At 38.4% G+C, this 13,701-nt stretch overlaps 1 pseudogene, besides 2 other annotated features; it reads right to left on the bottom strand.

Annotated features, from left to right (window-relative positions):
- Nucleotides 628-1,223: an enhancer, noted in NCBI's record as "NANOG-H3K27ac-H3K4me1 hESC enhancer chr4:112258405-112259000 (GRCh37/hg19 assembly coordinates)". NCBI's record gives its function as "activates a minimal SCP1, AML or CMV promoter by ChIP-STARR-seq in naive and primed H9 embryonic stem cells {active_cell/tissue: H9 hESC(naive and primed)}" and the evidence as "EXISTENCE:reporter gene assay evidence [ECO:0000049][PMID:30033119]".
- Nucleotides 1,224-1,819: an enhancer, noted in NCBI's record as "NANOG-H3K27ac-H3K4me1 hESC enhancer chr4:112257809-112258404 (GRCh37/hg19 assembly coordinates)". NCBI's record gives its function as "activates a minimal SCP1, AML or CMV promoter by ChIP-STARR-seq in naive H9 embryonic stem cells {active_cell/tissue: H9 hESC(naive)}" and the evidence as "EXISTENCE:reporter gene assay evidence [ECO:0000049][PMID:30033119]".
- Nucleotides 6,954-7,060, bottom strand: RNU6-289P (RNA, U6 small nuclear 289, pseudogene; annotated as a pseudogene).

Here is a 13,701-nt window from a genome sequence, read left to right as displayed (position 1 = left end):
TCGAGGAATATCTTTGTGGTGTTCTCTGTATTTCCTGAATCTGAACGTTGGCCTGCCTTGCTAGATTGGGGAAGTTCTCCTGGATAATATCCTGCAGAGTTTTTTCTAACTTGGTTCCATTCTCCCCATTGCTTTCAGGTACCCTAATCAGACGTAGATTTGGTCTTTTCACATAGTCCCATATTTCTTGGAGGCTTTCTCATTTCTTTTTATTCTTTTTTCTCTAAACTTCCCTTCTCGCTTCATTTCATTCATTTCATCTTCCATCGCTGATACCCTTTCTTCCAGTTGATCACATCAGCTCCTGAGGCTTCTGCATTCTTCACGTAGTTCTCGAGCCTTGGTTTTCAGCTCCATCAGCTCCTTTAAGCACTTCTCTGTATTGGTTATTCTAGTTATATATTCTTCTAAATTTTTTTCAAAGTTTTCAACTTCTTTGCCTTTGGTTTGAATGTCCTCCCGTAGCTCAGAGTAATTTGATCGTCTGAAGCCTTCTTCTCTCAGCTCGTCAAAGTCATTCTCCATCCAGCTTTGTTCCGTTGCTGGTGAGGAACTGCGTTCCTTTGGAGGAGGAGAGGCGCTCTATTTTTTAGAGTTTGCAGTTTTTCTGTTCTGTTTTTTCCCCATCTTTGTGGTTTTATCTACTTTTGGTCTTTGATGATGGTGATGTACAGATGGGTTTTTGGTGTGGATGTCCTTTCTGTTTGTTAGTTTTCCTTCTAACAGACAGGACCCTCAGCTGCAGGTCTGTTGGAGTACCTGGCCGTGTGAGGTGTCAGTGTGCCCTTGCTGGGGGGTGCCTCCCAGGTAGGCTGCTTGGGGGTCAGGGACCCACTTGAGGAGGCAGTCTGCCCATTCTCAGATCTCCAGCTGTGTGCTGGGAGAACCACTGCTCTCTTCAAAGCTGTCAGACAGGGACATTTAAGTCTGCAGAGGTTACTGCTGTCTTTTTGTTTGTCTGTGCCCTGCCCCCAGAGGTGGAGCCTATAGAGGCCGGCAGGCCTCCTTTAGCTGTGGTGGGCTCCACCCAGTTCGAGCTTCCCCGCTGCTTTGTTTACCTAAGCAAGCCTGGGCAATGGCGGGCGCCCCTCCCCCAGCCTGGCTGCCGCATTGCAGTTTGATCTCAGACTGCTGTGCTAGCAATCAGCGAGAGGACTCCGTGGGCGTAGGACCCTCCAAGCCAGGTGCGGGATACAATCTCGTGGTGTGCCGTTTTTTAAGCTGGTCGGAAAAGCGCAGTATTCGGGTGGGAGTGACCCGATTTTCCAGGTGCGTCAGTCACCCCTTTCTTTGACTCGGAAAGGGAACTCCCTGACCCCTTGCGCTTCCCTAGTGAGGCAATGCCTCGCCCTGCTTCGGCTCGCACAGGGTGCGCGCACCCACTGACCTGTGCCCACTGTCTGGCACTCCCAAGTGAGATGAACCTGGTACCTCAGATGGAAATGCAGAAATCACCCATCTTCTGCGTCGCTCACGCTGGGAGCTGTAGGCCGGAGCTCTTCCTATTCAGCCATCTTGGCTCCTCTCCAGTTTTCACTTTTATACTGAGAGTCAGTAATGTTTAGTTAATACTACATGGCCAGTTGCAAGGTTTGGGATTTGAATTCAGAAATCCTTCAAAATCCTAGACTTCTATAAAATATTCTGACAGTCATTCTCAATATTTTCTTCAGCACATTATGGTGTAAGATAACTATATTATTACAATGCAAAACACATTTGATTGACAATAAATTTATTCTCTGTACTCATTCAAAAACTGAAAGAGTGACAAATAATTTCCTAAGTTTAAGTGCCACTTTCCTGAGTTTAAATAAGCACTTTATTACTGTTAAGGGTTTATTATCTAAATTAAAAGGATAACTTAGGAAGTAAATATTTCAATGTTTCCTTGGTGTATATGTGTATATATGTTTCAATGAAGTTTTTTCCTGCTTTGAAGAAAATTTTGTTTATATATTTTGTCTTAGCTTGGTTCAGTTTTTTATATTTTATTTTTAATCAACTAATAACAATTGTATATATTTATGGAGTACAACATAATGCTTTAATCTATGTATACATTATTAAAAGATTCAATCAAGCAAATTAACATATCCATCACCTCACAAATTTATCATTTTTTATGTAAGAATGTTAAAAATCTATTCTTTTAGCAATTTTGAAATATAAAATATATTAACTGTGGTTACCAAGAAGTGTAATGAATCAATAAAACTTATATCTCTAGTCTGAAACTTTGTACTCTTTCATTAGCATCTTTTCTTTCTGCATCCCTTCCACGTTCCCCCATCTTCTGGTAATCACTTTTCTACTCTGCGTCTATGAGATTGACTTTTTTAGATTCCGCATATAAGGAAAATGATACAGAATTTGTCCCTCAGTGCCTGGTTTATTTCCCTTAGCATACTATCTTCCAGTTCTATTTATGTCATCATGAATGACAGAATTTTATTGTGTTTTTAAGGCTGTGTAATATTCAATTGTGTATATATACTACATTTTCTTTATTCATTCATTGATGGACACTTTGGTTGTTTTAGTATATCGGCTATTGTGAATCATGCTGAAATGAACATGTGGGTGTAGTTATCCCTTTGACATATTGATTTCAATGTCTTCAGATATATGCCCAGAAGTGGGATTGCTGCATCACATGTAATTGTATTTTTAGTTTTTTGAAGAAATTCTATACTATTTTCCAAAATGGCTATGCTAATTTCCATGCCCATCAACATTATACAAGAGTTCTTTTTTTTTCATACCCTCACTAACACTTGTTATCATCTGTCTTTTTAATAATAGCCATTCTAGCAGGTATGTGGTAAAACCACAATATCTCATTGTGGTTTTAATTAGCATTTCTCTGATGATAAGAGATGTTGAATGTTTTTAAATATATCTATTGGTGATTGTATCTTTTTTTGAGAAATGTCTGTTCAGATACTTTGCTCAATTTTTAATCAGGTTATCTTTTTCCTTGCTATTGAGTTGCTTATATATTTTGAATATTAACCCCTTATCAGATGTATGCTTTGAAAATATCTTTTCCCAGTCTACGGGTTGTCTCTTCACTATGTGTTTTTTTTTTTGACTTTACAAAATGAATGTTTTCTTTATTTTTTATTTTTTTTAATTTTATTATTATTATACTTTAAGTTTTAGGGTACATGTGCATAATGTGCAGGTTACATATGTATACATGTGCCATGCTGGTGTGCTGCACTCATTAACTCGTCATTTAGCATTAGGTATATCTCCTAATGCTATCCCTCCCCTCTCCCCCCACCCCACAACAGTCCCCAGAGTCTGATGTTCCCCTTCCTGTGTCCATGTGTTCTCATTGTTCAATTCCCACCTATGACTGAGAACATGCGGTGTTTGGTTTTTTGTTCTTGCGATAGTTTAGTTTACTGAGAATGATGGTTTCCAATTTCATCCATGACCCTACAAAGGACATGAACTCATCATTTTTTATGGCTGCATAGTATTCCATGGTGTATATGTACCACATTTTCTTAATCCAGTCTATCATTGTTGGACATTTGGGTTGGTTCCAAGTCTTTGCTATTGTGAATAGTGCCACAATAAACATACGTGTGCATGTGTCTTTATAGCAGCATGATTTATAGTCCTTTGGGTATATACCCAGTAATGGGATGGCTGGGTCAAATGGTATTTCTAGTTCTAGATCCCTGAGGAATCTCCACACTGACTTCCACAATGTTTTCTTTATCATGCAGAAACTCTTTAGTGTGATGTAATCTTATATATCTATTTTTACTTTTGTTACATTTGCTTCTGGAATACTTCTCAAGAAATCATTGCCCAGATTAATGTCATGGAGCTTTTCCCACATGTTTTCTCCTAACAGCTTTAAAATAACTAGTCTTACATTTAAGTATTTTATCCAGTTTGAGTTGATTTTTGTTTAGTTGTCCCTTGAATTCATGGGATTAAACTCATTGGATTGGTATTCATTGGATTTTTTCTAGGACTCTCTGAGCATACCAAAATCCACAGGCTGTCAAGTCCCTTTTAAAGGCATGCCTAAAAGATATTGCTGGTTTAGATCAGGCTACCACAATAAAGCAAATATCACAAATAAGTCACACAATTTTTTTGGTTCCTAGTATATATAAAAGTTATGTTTATATTATACCATAATTTATTAAGTGTACAATAGAATTAGGTTTAAAAAAGCAAAGTACATATCTAAATTTAAGAATTATTTATTGATAAAAATGCTAATGATCATTTGAGCCTTCAGCAAGTCATAATCATTTTGCTGGTGGAGGGTCTTGCTTTGATATTAATGGCTGCTGACTGACGAGGGTGGTGGTTGATGAAGGTTTGAATGGCTGTGCCAATTTCTTGAAATGAAACAAAAATGAAGTTTGTCGCATCAATTGACTCTTCCTTGCAGAAGGATTTCTCTGTAGCATGTGATGTTTGATTGCATTTTACCCATAATAAAACCTCTTTCCAAATTGGAATTAATCCTCTCAAACCCTACAGTTTGCTTTATCAACTAAATTTATGTAATATTTTAAATCCTTTGTGGTCATTTCAACAATGTTCACAGCATCTTGACCCGGAGTAGATTTGATCTCAAGAAACCACTTTCTTGCTCATCCATAGGAAACAACTCCTCATCCATTCAAGTTTTATCATGAGATTTTAGTTCAGTAACAACTTCAGTCTCCGCTTCTAAGTCTAGTTCGCTTTTAATTTCTACCACATCTGCAGTTACTTACTTCACTGAAGTCTTAAACTTCTGAAAGTAATCCATAAGAGTTGGAATAAACTTCTTCCAAACTTTTGTTAATGTTGGTATTTTGGACTCCTGACATAATCATGAATTTTCTTAATGACATCTAGAATGGTGAATACCTTCCAGAAGATTTTCAGTTTACTTAGGTCAGATTCATCAGAGAAATTACTGTCTATGGCAGCTATAGTTTACAAAATATATTTCTTAAATAAGAAGACCCGAAAGTCAAAATTACTCCTTTATCTATGGGCTACAGGATAGATGTGTTAGTAGGCATGAAAACCATATTCATCTCTTTGTACATCTCCATCAGTACTTTAGGTGACTAGGTGCATTGTCAAGCAGCATTAATATTTTGAAAGGAATCTCTTTTTCTTAGCAATAAGTCTCAATCATAAGCTTAAAATATTCAGTAAATGATGCTATAAACTAATGTACTGTCATTTAGGATTTATTGTTCCATATATAGAGCAGAGTCAGAGTAAACTTTGCATAATTAATTCTTAGGGGCTCTAGGATTTTTGAGTAAATGAGCATTGGCTTCAACTTCTAGACATCAGCTTCATTAACCCCTAAAAGAGAGTTGGCTTGTCTTTTGAAGCTTTGAAGTCAAGTATTGACTTCTCTCTACCTATGAAAATTCTAGGTGGCATCTTCTTCTAATAGAAGCCTTTTTTGTCTCCACTGAAAATCGTTCATTTGTTTTGTATATGTATTTTTTTGAGATGGAGTTTTGCTCATGTTGCCCAGGCTGGAGTGCAATGGCACAATCTCAGCTCACTGTGACCTCCACCTCCCTGGTTCAAGCGATTCTTCTGCCTCAGCCTCCCGAGTAGCTGGGATTACAGGTGTGTGCCACCATGCCCAGCTAATATTTGTATTTTTAGTAGAGACAGGGTTTTGTCATGTGAGCCAGGGTGGTCTCGAACTCCTGATCTCAGGTGATTCACCCGCCTCTGCCTCCCAAAGTGCACCTTGCCTGGCCTGTTTTGTATAAATTTAAGGGATACAAGTGCAATTTTGTTATATGGCTATATTGTCTGGTTGTGAAGTCTGGGTGTTTAGTGTATCCACTATCCAAATAATGTACATTGGACCCATCGGGTAATTCCCATCATCCACCCCTCTTCCCATCCCCACTCATCTGAGTCTCCAAGTCATACATTACATCCACATGTATACATTGTTTAGTTTGCACTTATAAGTGAGACCATACAGTATTTTTTTTCTTTCTGCTTCTGAGTTGTTTCACTTAAGATAATGGCTTCCAGTTCCATCCATGTTGCTTCAAAGACATGGTTTAATTATTTTTAATGGTCAAATATTATTCTATTGTGTGTATATGCATTGTCTTTATCCAATCCTCCTCTGATAGACACTTAGGTTGAATCCAAATCTCTGCTGTTATGAATAGTGCTGCAATAAACATATGAGTGCAGTAATCTTATTGATAGGTATAATTATTTCTTTTCCTTTGGGTAGATACCCAGCAGTGTGATTGCTAGATCAAACAGCAGCTCCATTTTTGGTTCTTTGATAAATCCTCATGTGTTTTAAATAGAGGTTATGCCAATTTATAGTCTCATCAACAGTGCACAAGCCTTCCCTTTTCTCTGCCTCCTCAACCACATTTGTTACTTTTTGTCTTTTCATATAATAGCCATTCTAACTGGTATAAGATGACATCCCACTGTGGCATTAATTTAAATTCCTCTGATGATTAACAACGTTAAGCATTTTTATATGCTTGTTAGCTATTTGTATGAAACATATCTATTGAAAATAAAAATTTGAAAATTTTCTATTTTTCAATAGATTTTTATACAAATAGCCAACAAATGTATAAAAATTATGCTGCTTTTGAAAAATATCTATTAGTATCTTCTGGCCACTCTTTAACGGGGTCATCTGTTTGTTGTTGAGTTGTTTGAGTTCCTTGTAAATTCTGGATATTAGTTTCCTGTCAGATGCATAGTTTACAAACATCCTCTCCCATTCTGTAGGCTGTCTGTTCACTCTGTTGATTGGTTCTTTTGCTGTGCAGAAGCTTCTTAATCAAGTACCATCTGACTATCTTGGTTTTTGTTGTTTTGCTTTTGAGATCCTGGTCATGAATTTTCTACCCAGACCGATGTCTAGAAGAGTCTTTCCTAGGCTTGCCTCTAGTATCTTTATAGCTAAAAATATGAAATACTTCATGAATTTGCATGCCATCATTTAGCAGGGGCTATGCTAATTTTTTCTGTATCATTCCAGTTTCAGTATGTGTGCTGCTGAATCCAACATAAAATCTGTTGTTTAATGTAGCTACTTTCATCAATAATCTTAGCTGGATTTTCTGGATAATGTGCTACGTCTTCTACATCAGCACTTGCTGCTTCATCTTGCACTTTTATGTTGTGAAGATGGCTTCTTTCCTTAAATCCCAAGAACCAACCTCTGCTAGTTTCCAACTTTTCTTCTGTAGCTTCCTCACCCCTCTCAGCTTTCATAGAATTGAAGAAAGTTAGGGTCTCACTCTGGATTCAACTTTAGTTTAAGGGAATGTTGTGGCTGGTTTGATCTACCCACACTAAGCAAACTTTCTTAATATCAGCAATAAGGCTGTTTCACTTCATCATTCCTGTGTTCACCGAAGTAGCACTTTTAATTTCCTTTAAGAACGTTTCCTTTGTACTCACAACTTGGCTAACTTGTACTCACAAGTCTAGTATAAGAGGCTTAGCTTTCAGCCTGTCTCAGCTTTTTGGCATGCCTTACTCACTAAGCTTATTTTATTTCTAGCTTTTGATTTAAATTGAGAGCTGTGCAACTTTTCCTTTCAGTTGAATACTTAGAGGCCATTGTAAGGTCATTTTTTTTTCTTTCCAACTTTTATTTTAGGCTCAGTGGGTACATGTGCAGGTTTGTTACATGGGTAAATTGCCTGTTGTGGGAGTTTGGTGTACAGATTATTTCATCACCCAGGTAGTAAGCACAGTACTCGGCAGGTAGTTTTTCAATCCTCATCCTCTTCCCACCCTCCATCCTTAAGTAGGCTCTGGGGTCTATTGTTCCTTTCTTCGTGTCATGTGCACTCAATTTTTAGCTCCCATTTATAAGTGAGAACATGTGGTTTTCTGCTGCTGTATTAGTTTGCTTAAGAAAATGCCCTCCATTTCCATCCATGTTGCAGCAACTTGTAGGGTTATGAATTGGTCTTATTTCAAAATTGTTGTGTCTTAGGGAATAAGGAGGGCTGAGGAGATGAAGAGAGATGATAGACTAGTCAGTGAGTGGAGGAGTCAAAACACACACAACATTTATTGATTAAGTTTGCTGTCTTATATAGGTGCAGTTTGTGGTGCACCAAAACAATTACAATAGTAACATTGAAGATCACTGATTACAGATCATCATAACAGATATAACAATAATGAAACTGTCTGAAATATTGTGAGAATTAACAAAATATGTCACAGAGATAGGAAATGGGCACATAATGTTGGAAAAATGGTGCCGATAGTGTTGCTCCACACAGGGTCACCACAAATCTTCAATTTGTAAAAAACAAACACAAGACAAAAAAGACCCATAATATCTACAAAGTATAATAAAGCAAAGCACAATAAAATGAGATATGCCTATATAAAATGATATAGTATTTGCATATAACTTATGCACATCCTCTTGTATAATTTAAGTCACCTCCAGATTACTTATAATACTTAATATAAAGTAAATGCCATATAAATAGTTAATATACTGTACTGTATTGTTTTTTATTTGTATTGTTTTTATTGCTTTATTGTTATTTTTATTGTTAGTTTTGTCAAATATTTTTGATCTGTGGTTGGTTGAATCCGCAGATGCAGAAGCAGTAAATATGGAGAGCAGCCTGTATATGCTGTGAGATAAGGGTCTAATTTCATTCTGTATGGGGATATCCAGTTTTCCCAGAAGTATTAATTGAAGAGACTGTCCTTTTCTCATTGTGTGTTCTTGGTACTTTTTCCAAAAGTAAAAGGATTGTAAATACATGGGGTTATTTCTGGACTTTCTACTCTCTTCCATAGGTTGATGTGTCTTTTTATACCAGTATCATGCTGTTTTGATTACAATTAGTTTCATAATATACTTTGAAATCAGAAAGTGGGATGCCTCTAGCTTTGTTCCTTTTGCTTAAGACTTCTTTTGCTATTTGGGGTATTTTTTGGTTCCATATAAATTTTAGTATTTTTTCCTCTTTTTTGGTTCCATACAAATTTGAGGATTTCTTTTCTATTTCTGTGGAAAATAACATGAAGTTTTGATAGAAATTGAATTAAATATATACATCACTTCGGGTAGTATGGACATTTTAACTATATTAATTCTTCCAATCTAGGAACATGGAATAGTTTTTCATTTATTGGTGTCCTCTTCAATTTTTCATCAATGATTTACAGTTTTCAGTGCACAGATCTCCCAATTCTTTGGTTAAATTTACTTCCTAAAATTTTATTTATGTATTATATTTCTTTATTTTGATGCAATTGTAAATGGGATTTTTTTTCTTAATTTGTTTTCTTGGATAGTTTGTTGTTAGTATATAGGGATGCTACTGATTTTTTGTGTGGTAATTTTGTAGCATGAAACTACTGAATTTGTCAGTTTTTACTTTTTTATAAAATAACAGTTTTTAATATATAAGATATGCCATTACCAAATAGAGATAATTTTACTTCTTCCCTTCTGATTTGCATGGCTTTTATTCCTTTCTCTTGCCTAATTGCTCTGGCCAGGCATTCTATTACTATGTTGGATAGATGGTGCCAGAGTAGGCATCTTTATTTTGTTCCTGACCTTAAAAGAAAAGCTTTCAGCTTTTCACCGATGAATATAATCTTTGTTTAGATAAAATTTATCAATTTTGTGTACCTTTTCAAAAACCCAGCTTTTAGGTTTATCTTTTCTATTGTTTTTCTTGTCTCTATTTAGCAGATTTCTTCTCTGATATTTGCTATTTCCTTTCTTCTGTGAAGTTTGGCCAAACTATAGTTTTCTTTTCTAGTTATTTGAGATGTAACATTAGGTTGTTTATTTGAGATCTTTTTTCTTTTTTGATGAAGGCACTTATTGCTATAAACTCCCTCTCAAGACTGCTTTTGCTGATTCTATAAGTTTTAGTGTGTTTTATTTCCATTTTCGTTTGTGTCAAGATTTTTTTTTTTTGATACAGTTACCCTGCTGTCCAGGCTGGAGGGTAGTGGTGCAGTCTGAGCTCACTGCAACCTCCACTTCCTGGGTTCAAGTGATTTTCATGACTCAGCCACCTAAGTAGCTGGGATTACATACATGTGCCACCATGCAGGCTAATTTTTTTTTTTTCTTTTTGTATTTTTAGTAGAGAGGGTTTCGCCATGTTGGCCAGGCTGGTCCTGAACTCCTGGCCTCAAGTGATCAATCTGCTGTGGCCTCCCAAAGTGCTGGGATTACAGGCATGAGCCACTGCGCCCGGCCTGTTCAAGAACATATTATTTAATTTCCATTTACTTGTGAGTTTTCCAAGATTCCTCCTGTTATTTATTTCTAGTTTTAAGCCATTGTGATCAGAAAAGATACTCAATATAATTGCAATCTCTTAAATTTGTTAAGAATTATTTTGTGGCCTAACATACGATCTATTTTGGAGAATGATCTGTGTGCAATTGAAAACGATATGCAAATCAGAGGAGCAAGGTGGCAGAATAGAAGGTTCAACCAATCGTCCTCCCTGCAAAGACATCAATTTAACAACTATCTACACAGAAAAATCACCTTCATAAGAACCATAAACCAGGTGAGCACTCATAGTACCTGGTGGTAACTTTATATCACTGAAAGAGGCATTGAAGAGGTAGAAAAAGCAGTAGTTAATCACTGACACCACCCTTTCTTCTCCCCTCAGCAGCAGTGGCAGGGTGCAGAGAGCATATCTGGACACTGGGGGAGGGAGAACACAGCAACTGTAAGGCATTGAACTCACTGCTGTCCTGTTAGAGCAGAAAGGAAAACCATACCTAACTCAGCTGATGCTGCCCATGGAGAAAGCATTTAGATCAGCCCTAACCAGAAGGGGATTCGCTGATCCCAGTAGTCCAAACTTGAATTCTCAAGAACTACAACTCATAGGCAGGTCCTAGTGCTGAACTAGGCCCAGAGACAGTGGACTGGTGCGGGGATGTGACATACTGAGACACGAGCTGGGGCAGCTAAGGGAGTGTTGGCATCACCCCTCCTCTAACCCCAGGCTGCACAGTTCACAGCTCCAAAAAAGACCCCTTCCTTATGCTTGAGTAGAGAAGAGTGGGAAGGACTTTGCTTTACATCTTGGGTATCAATTCAGCCATAGCAGGAGAGGGGCACCAATCAGAGTCATGAGATCCTCATTCCAGGATCTTGCTCCCAGATGACATTTGTAGACATGCTCTGGGCCAGAAGGGGGCCCACTGCTTTGAAAGAAAGGGCCCAGTTCTGGCAGCATTCATCATCTCCCAACAGAAGAGCCCTTGGGCCCTTAATGACCAGGAGCAATACCCAAGTACTATGTAGCAAGCCTTGGGTGACCCTCTGAGACTTACTGGCTTCAGGTACCAGTATGGCTATGCTGGGAAGAGCACCAAGGAGGCTATTGGGGTACCTGATTCTAGAATTTGACCCTTGGATGGCATTTCTGGACCTGCCCTGAACCAGAAAGGACCCCATTGCCCTGAAGTGTGAGTCCTAGGCCAGGCAGCATTCACCACAAGCTGACTCAAGAGCGGTTGTATCTCCACTTTACTAAGATCGGCTTCTGGAGATGTATTTTATTCTTTTATTTGGAATATGTTTCCCTGTTTCTTCAATTTCCTTGACTCTCTGTGTTGATTTCAGTACATGCTATGAATGAACAAGCAAGCTCTCTAAGTTTTGTTACTCTGGTCTTATGTAAGATATGTTTCTCCTCAGTCAGCACAGTCAGTGATTCTAGGTGCCTTTCAACTCTTTGTATTTGTCCAACCTGCTGCCTTTGTTATTTGTAGCCCCAGAGAAATTAAAAAGTGTCAAGTCATGTTATTGCCTTGAGAGAGGTAGGATAGAAGCCAGTCCTTTGGGATAAAGCAGGAAAGGTTGGGGTGTTTGTTTGTTAGATTTATGTTAGATTTATCCTTCTTTCTTTGCAGAAAAGCTGAGAACCAAAATTAACCTTCCACTCATTTTGCTCTACACCAAGAAGAGGGACTGAGGAACATGCCCGTAGTTTTGATCAGATTGCTCACTTTGAACCTCAGAAAATACTGATGACCATTTAAAGGTTTAAAAGTCACTTTTTTTTTTCCTCTGTGGTCTAAGAAACTCGATAGTATAGAGCTCTGTTAACTCCCAGAGCTAGGCGATTTAGGAGTCAGTTCTTAGGATGAAGGCTGAAAAGCTGGGGCACTTGATGCATGCAGAAGTTACTCTCAGAGAGAGTCTGTATATTTGGAATTATTTCAGGAGAAAGCCAGGGAAGAAAGTGCATGAAGTTCCCACTCTCCCATTGAAGGAAGCACAAGTTTCATACCCTCCTAATAGACAGAGACTTCTGGCCTGGACTTATTGCTAAAGCAAGCAAGGGAGGGAGGTGCAGGGAGTATCTGCATTCCCATAGAGACATGAAGATGTCCCCCTGCCTCCTTCCAGTGAAAGACAGCAAGAGTTTATTTCTAGAACAAACCAGAGAAGAAGGTGTGGGGAGTGCCATAACTTCCATGGTTACTGACACAGGTCTCAAATGTGTTTTCATGGAGATATTTCAGGGCTAGGATTATCACTGGAGCTAGTTGGTGGAAAAGGTGCAGAAAGTGTCTGCTGTCCTGTTCAAGCAAGTGGAAGAAGTTTCACACCTCCCATCCCTTGCAGGGGGAGCCTTCTGTTGTGATTGCTGAAGCAATCCAGAGAAAAAGGTTCAGGGAGTCAGGGAGTGCCTACTTTCCCTTTCAGGCACATAGGAGTCCTTCTGCCACCATCTAATGAGGGATTGCAGACAGACATTTATCATGGGAGCAAACCAGGGAAGAGGGCATGGCAGGGCAGGGCAGACAGGGTGTGCTGTCCCTCCATTCTTGCTGGTAGTGGCCTCCAACCTCTTACCACAGAGATTGTAGAGCTATCACTGGAGTAAGCAACGGAAGAAGGTGTGGGCAGTGCAGTATCATCCTCCCATTTAGTCTCCAAGAGGTTTATTCTTACTTGCTATATAGGCTCCCAGATACTGGCTTGTTAGAGGCCAGAACCACAGGGTGCTCCTGGAAAAGCATGTGATCACACCTCATCAGTGGGGAAGGTGAAATCTGGGCTCATCTCAGGGGACTACAACAAACAGCTAAGGGTGCTCACATGGTTCAAACCCCCATTTTGTTCTTTGTGTTTGAGGGAGATCCTCTGAAGATTGTCTCTTTCATTCCTCCAGCACAGTGATTTAAGAGCCAAGCCCTTCACAAGGACTGTGAAAGTGGAACACTATGTGTGCTACAAGTCCCTCACCCCTCAGGATAAAGTGAAAGTTGGAGTTTCCTTCCCAAGTGTGTTCAGGGTGGGGTTAATTCACAAGTGTATCTGCTTTTCCTATTGGTTTGATGCGGATGTTTTCTCAGTCATCCAGTATGTAGGAGTCTTTCAACTGGATTCTGCCTTTCTCTTGGAGAGAATTGATTTGTGTGTAGGTGTTTACTCAGTTTGTCTGTGGAAGAAGCGATAGTCAGGAGTCTCCTATTTCACCAGGTTTTCTAATGTTTCAAATGTTTTATTTCCATTAAAAAAATAAATAACTGAAATTAAAAGCAAATGTTTTATATACATGTCATTAATATATAAATAACCATGTTTAATTTAACAATGAACTAGCTGCTTTCTTGGAATTTCATATACCCTAAAAGAACTTCAGAAGCCCAATTGATAATGTCTCC

Source organism: Homo sapiens, chromosome 4 (genome assembly GCF_000001405.40).
Source record: "Homo sapiens chromosome 4, GRCh38.p14 Primary Assembly".
In the NCBI taxonomy this organism is placed as follows: domain Eukaryota; kingdom Metazoa; phylum Chordata; class Mammalia; order Primates; family Hominidae; genus Homo; species Homo sapiens.
The sequence above is the reverse complement of the archived record's forward strand: the minus strand, read 5'-3'. Positions and strand labels throughout refer to the sequence as shown.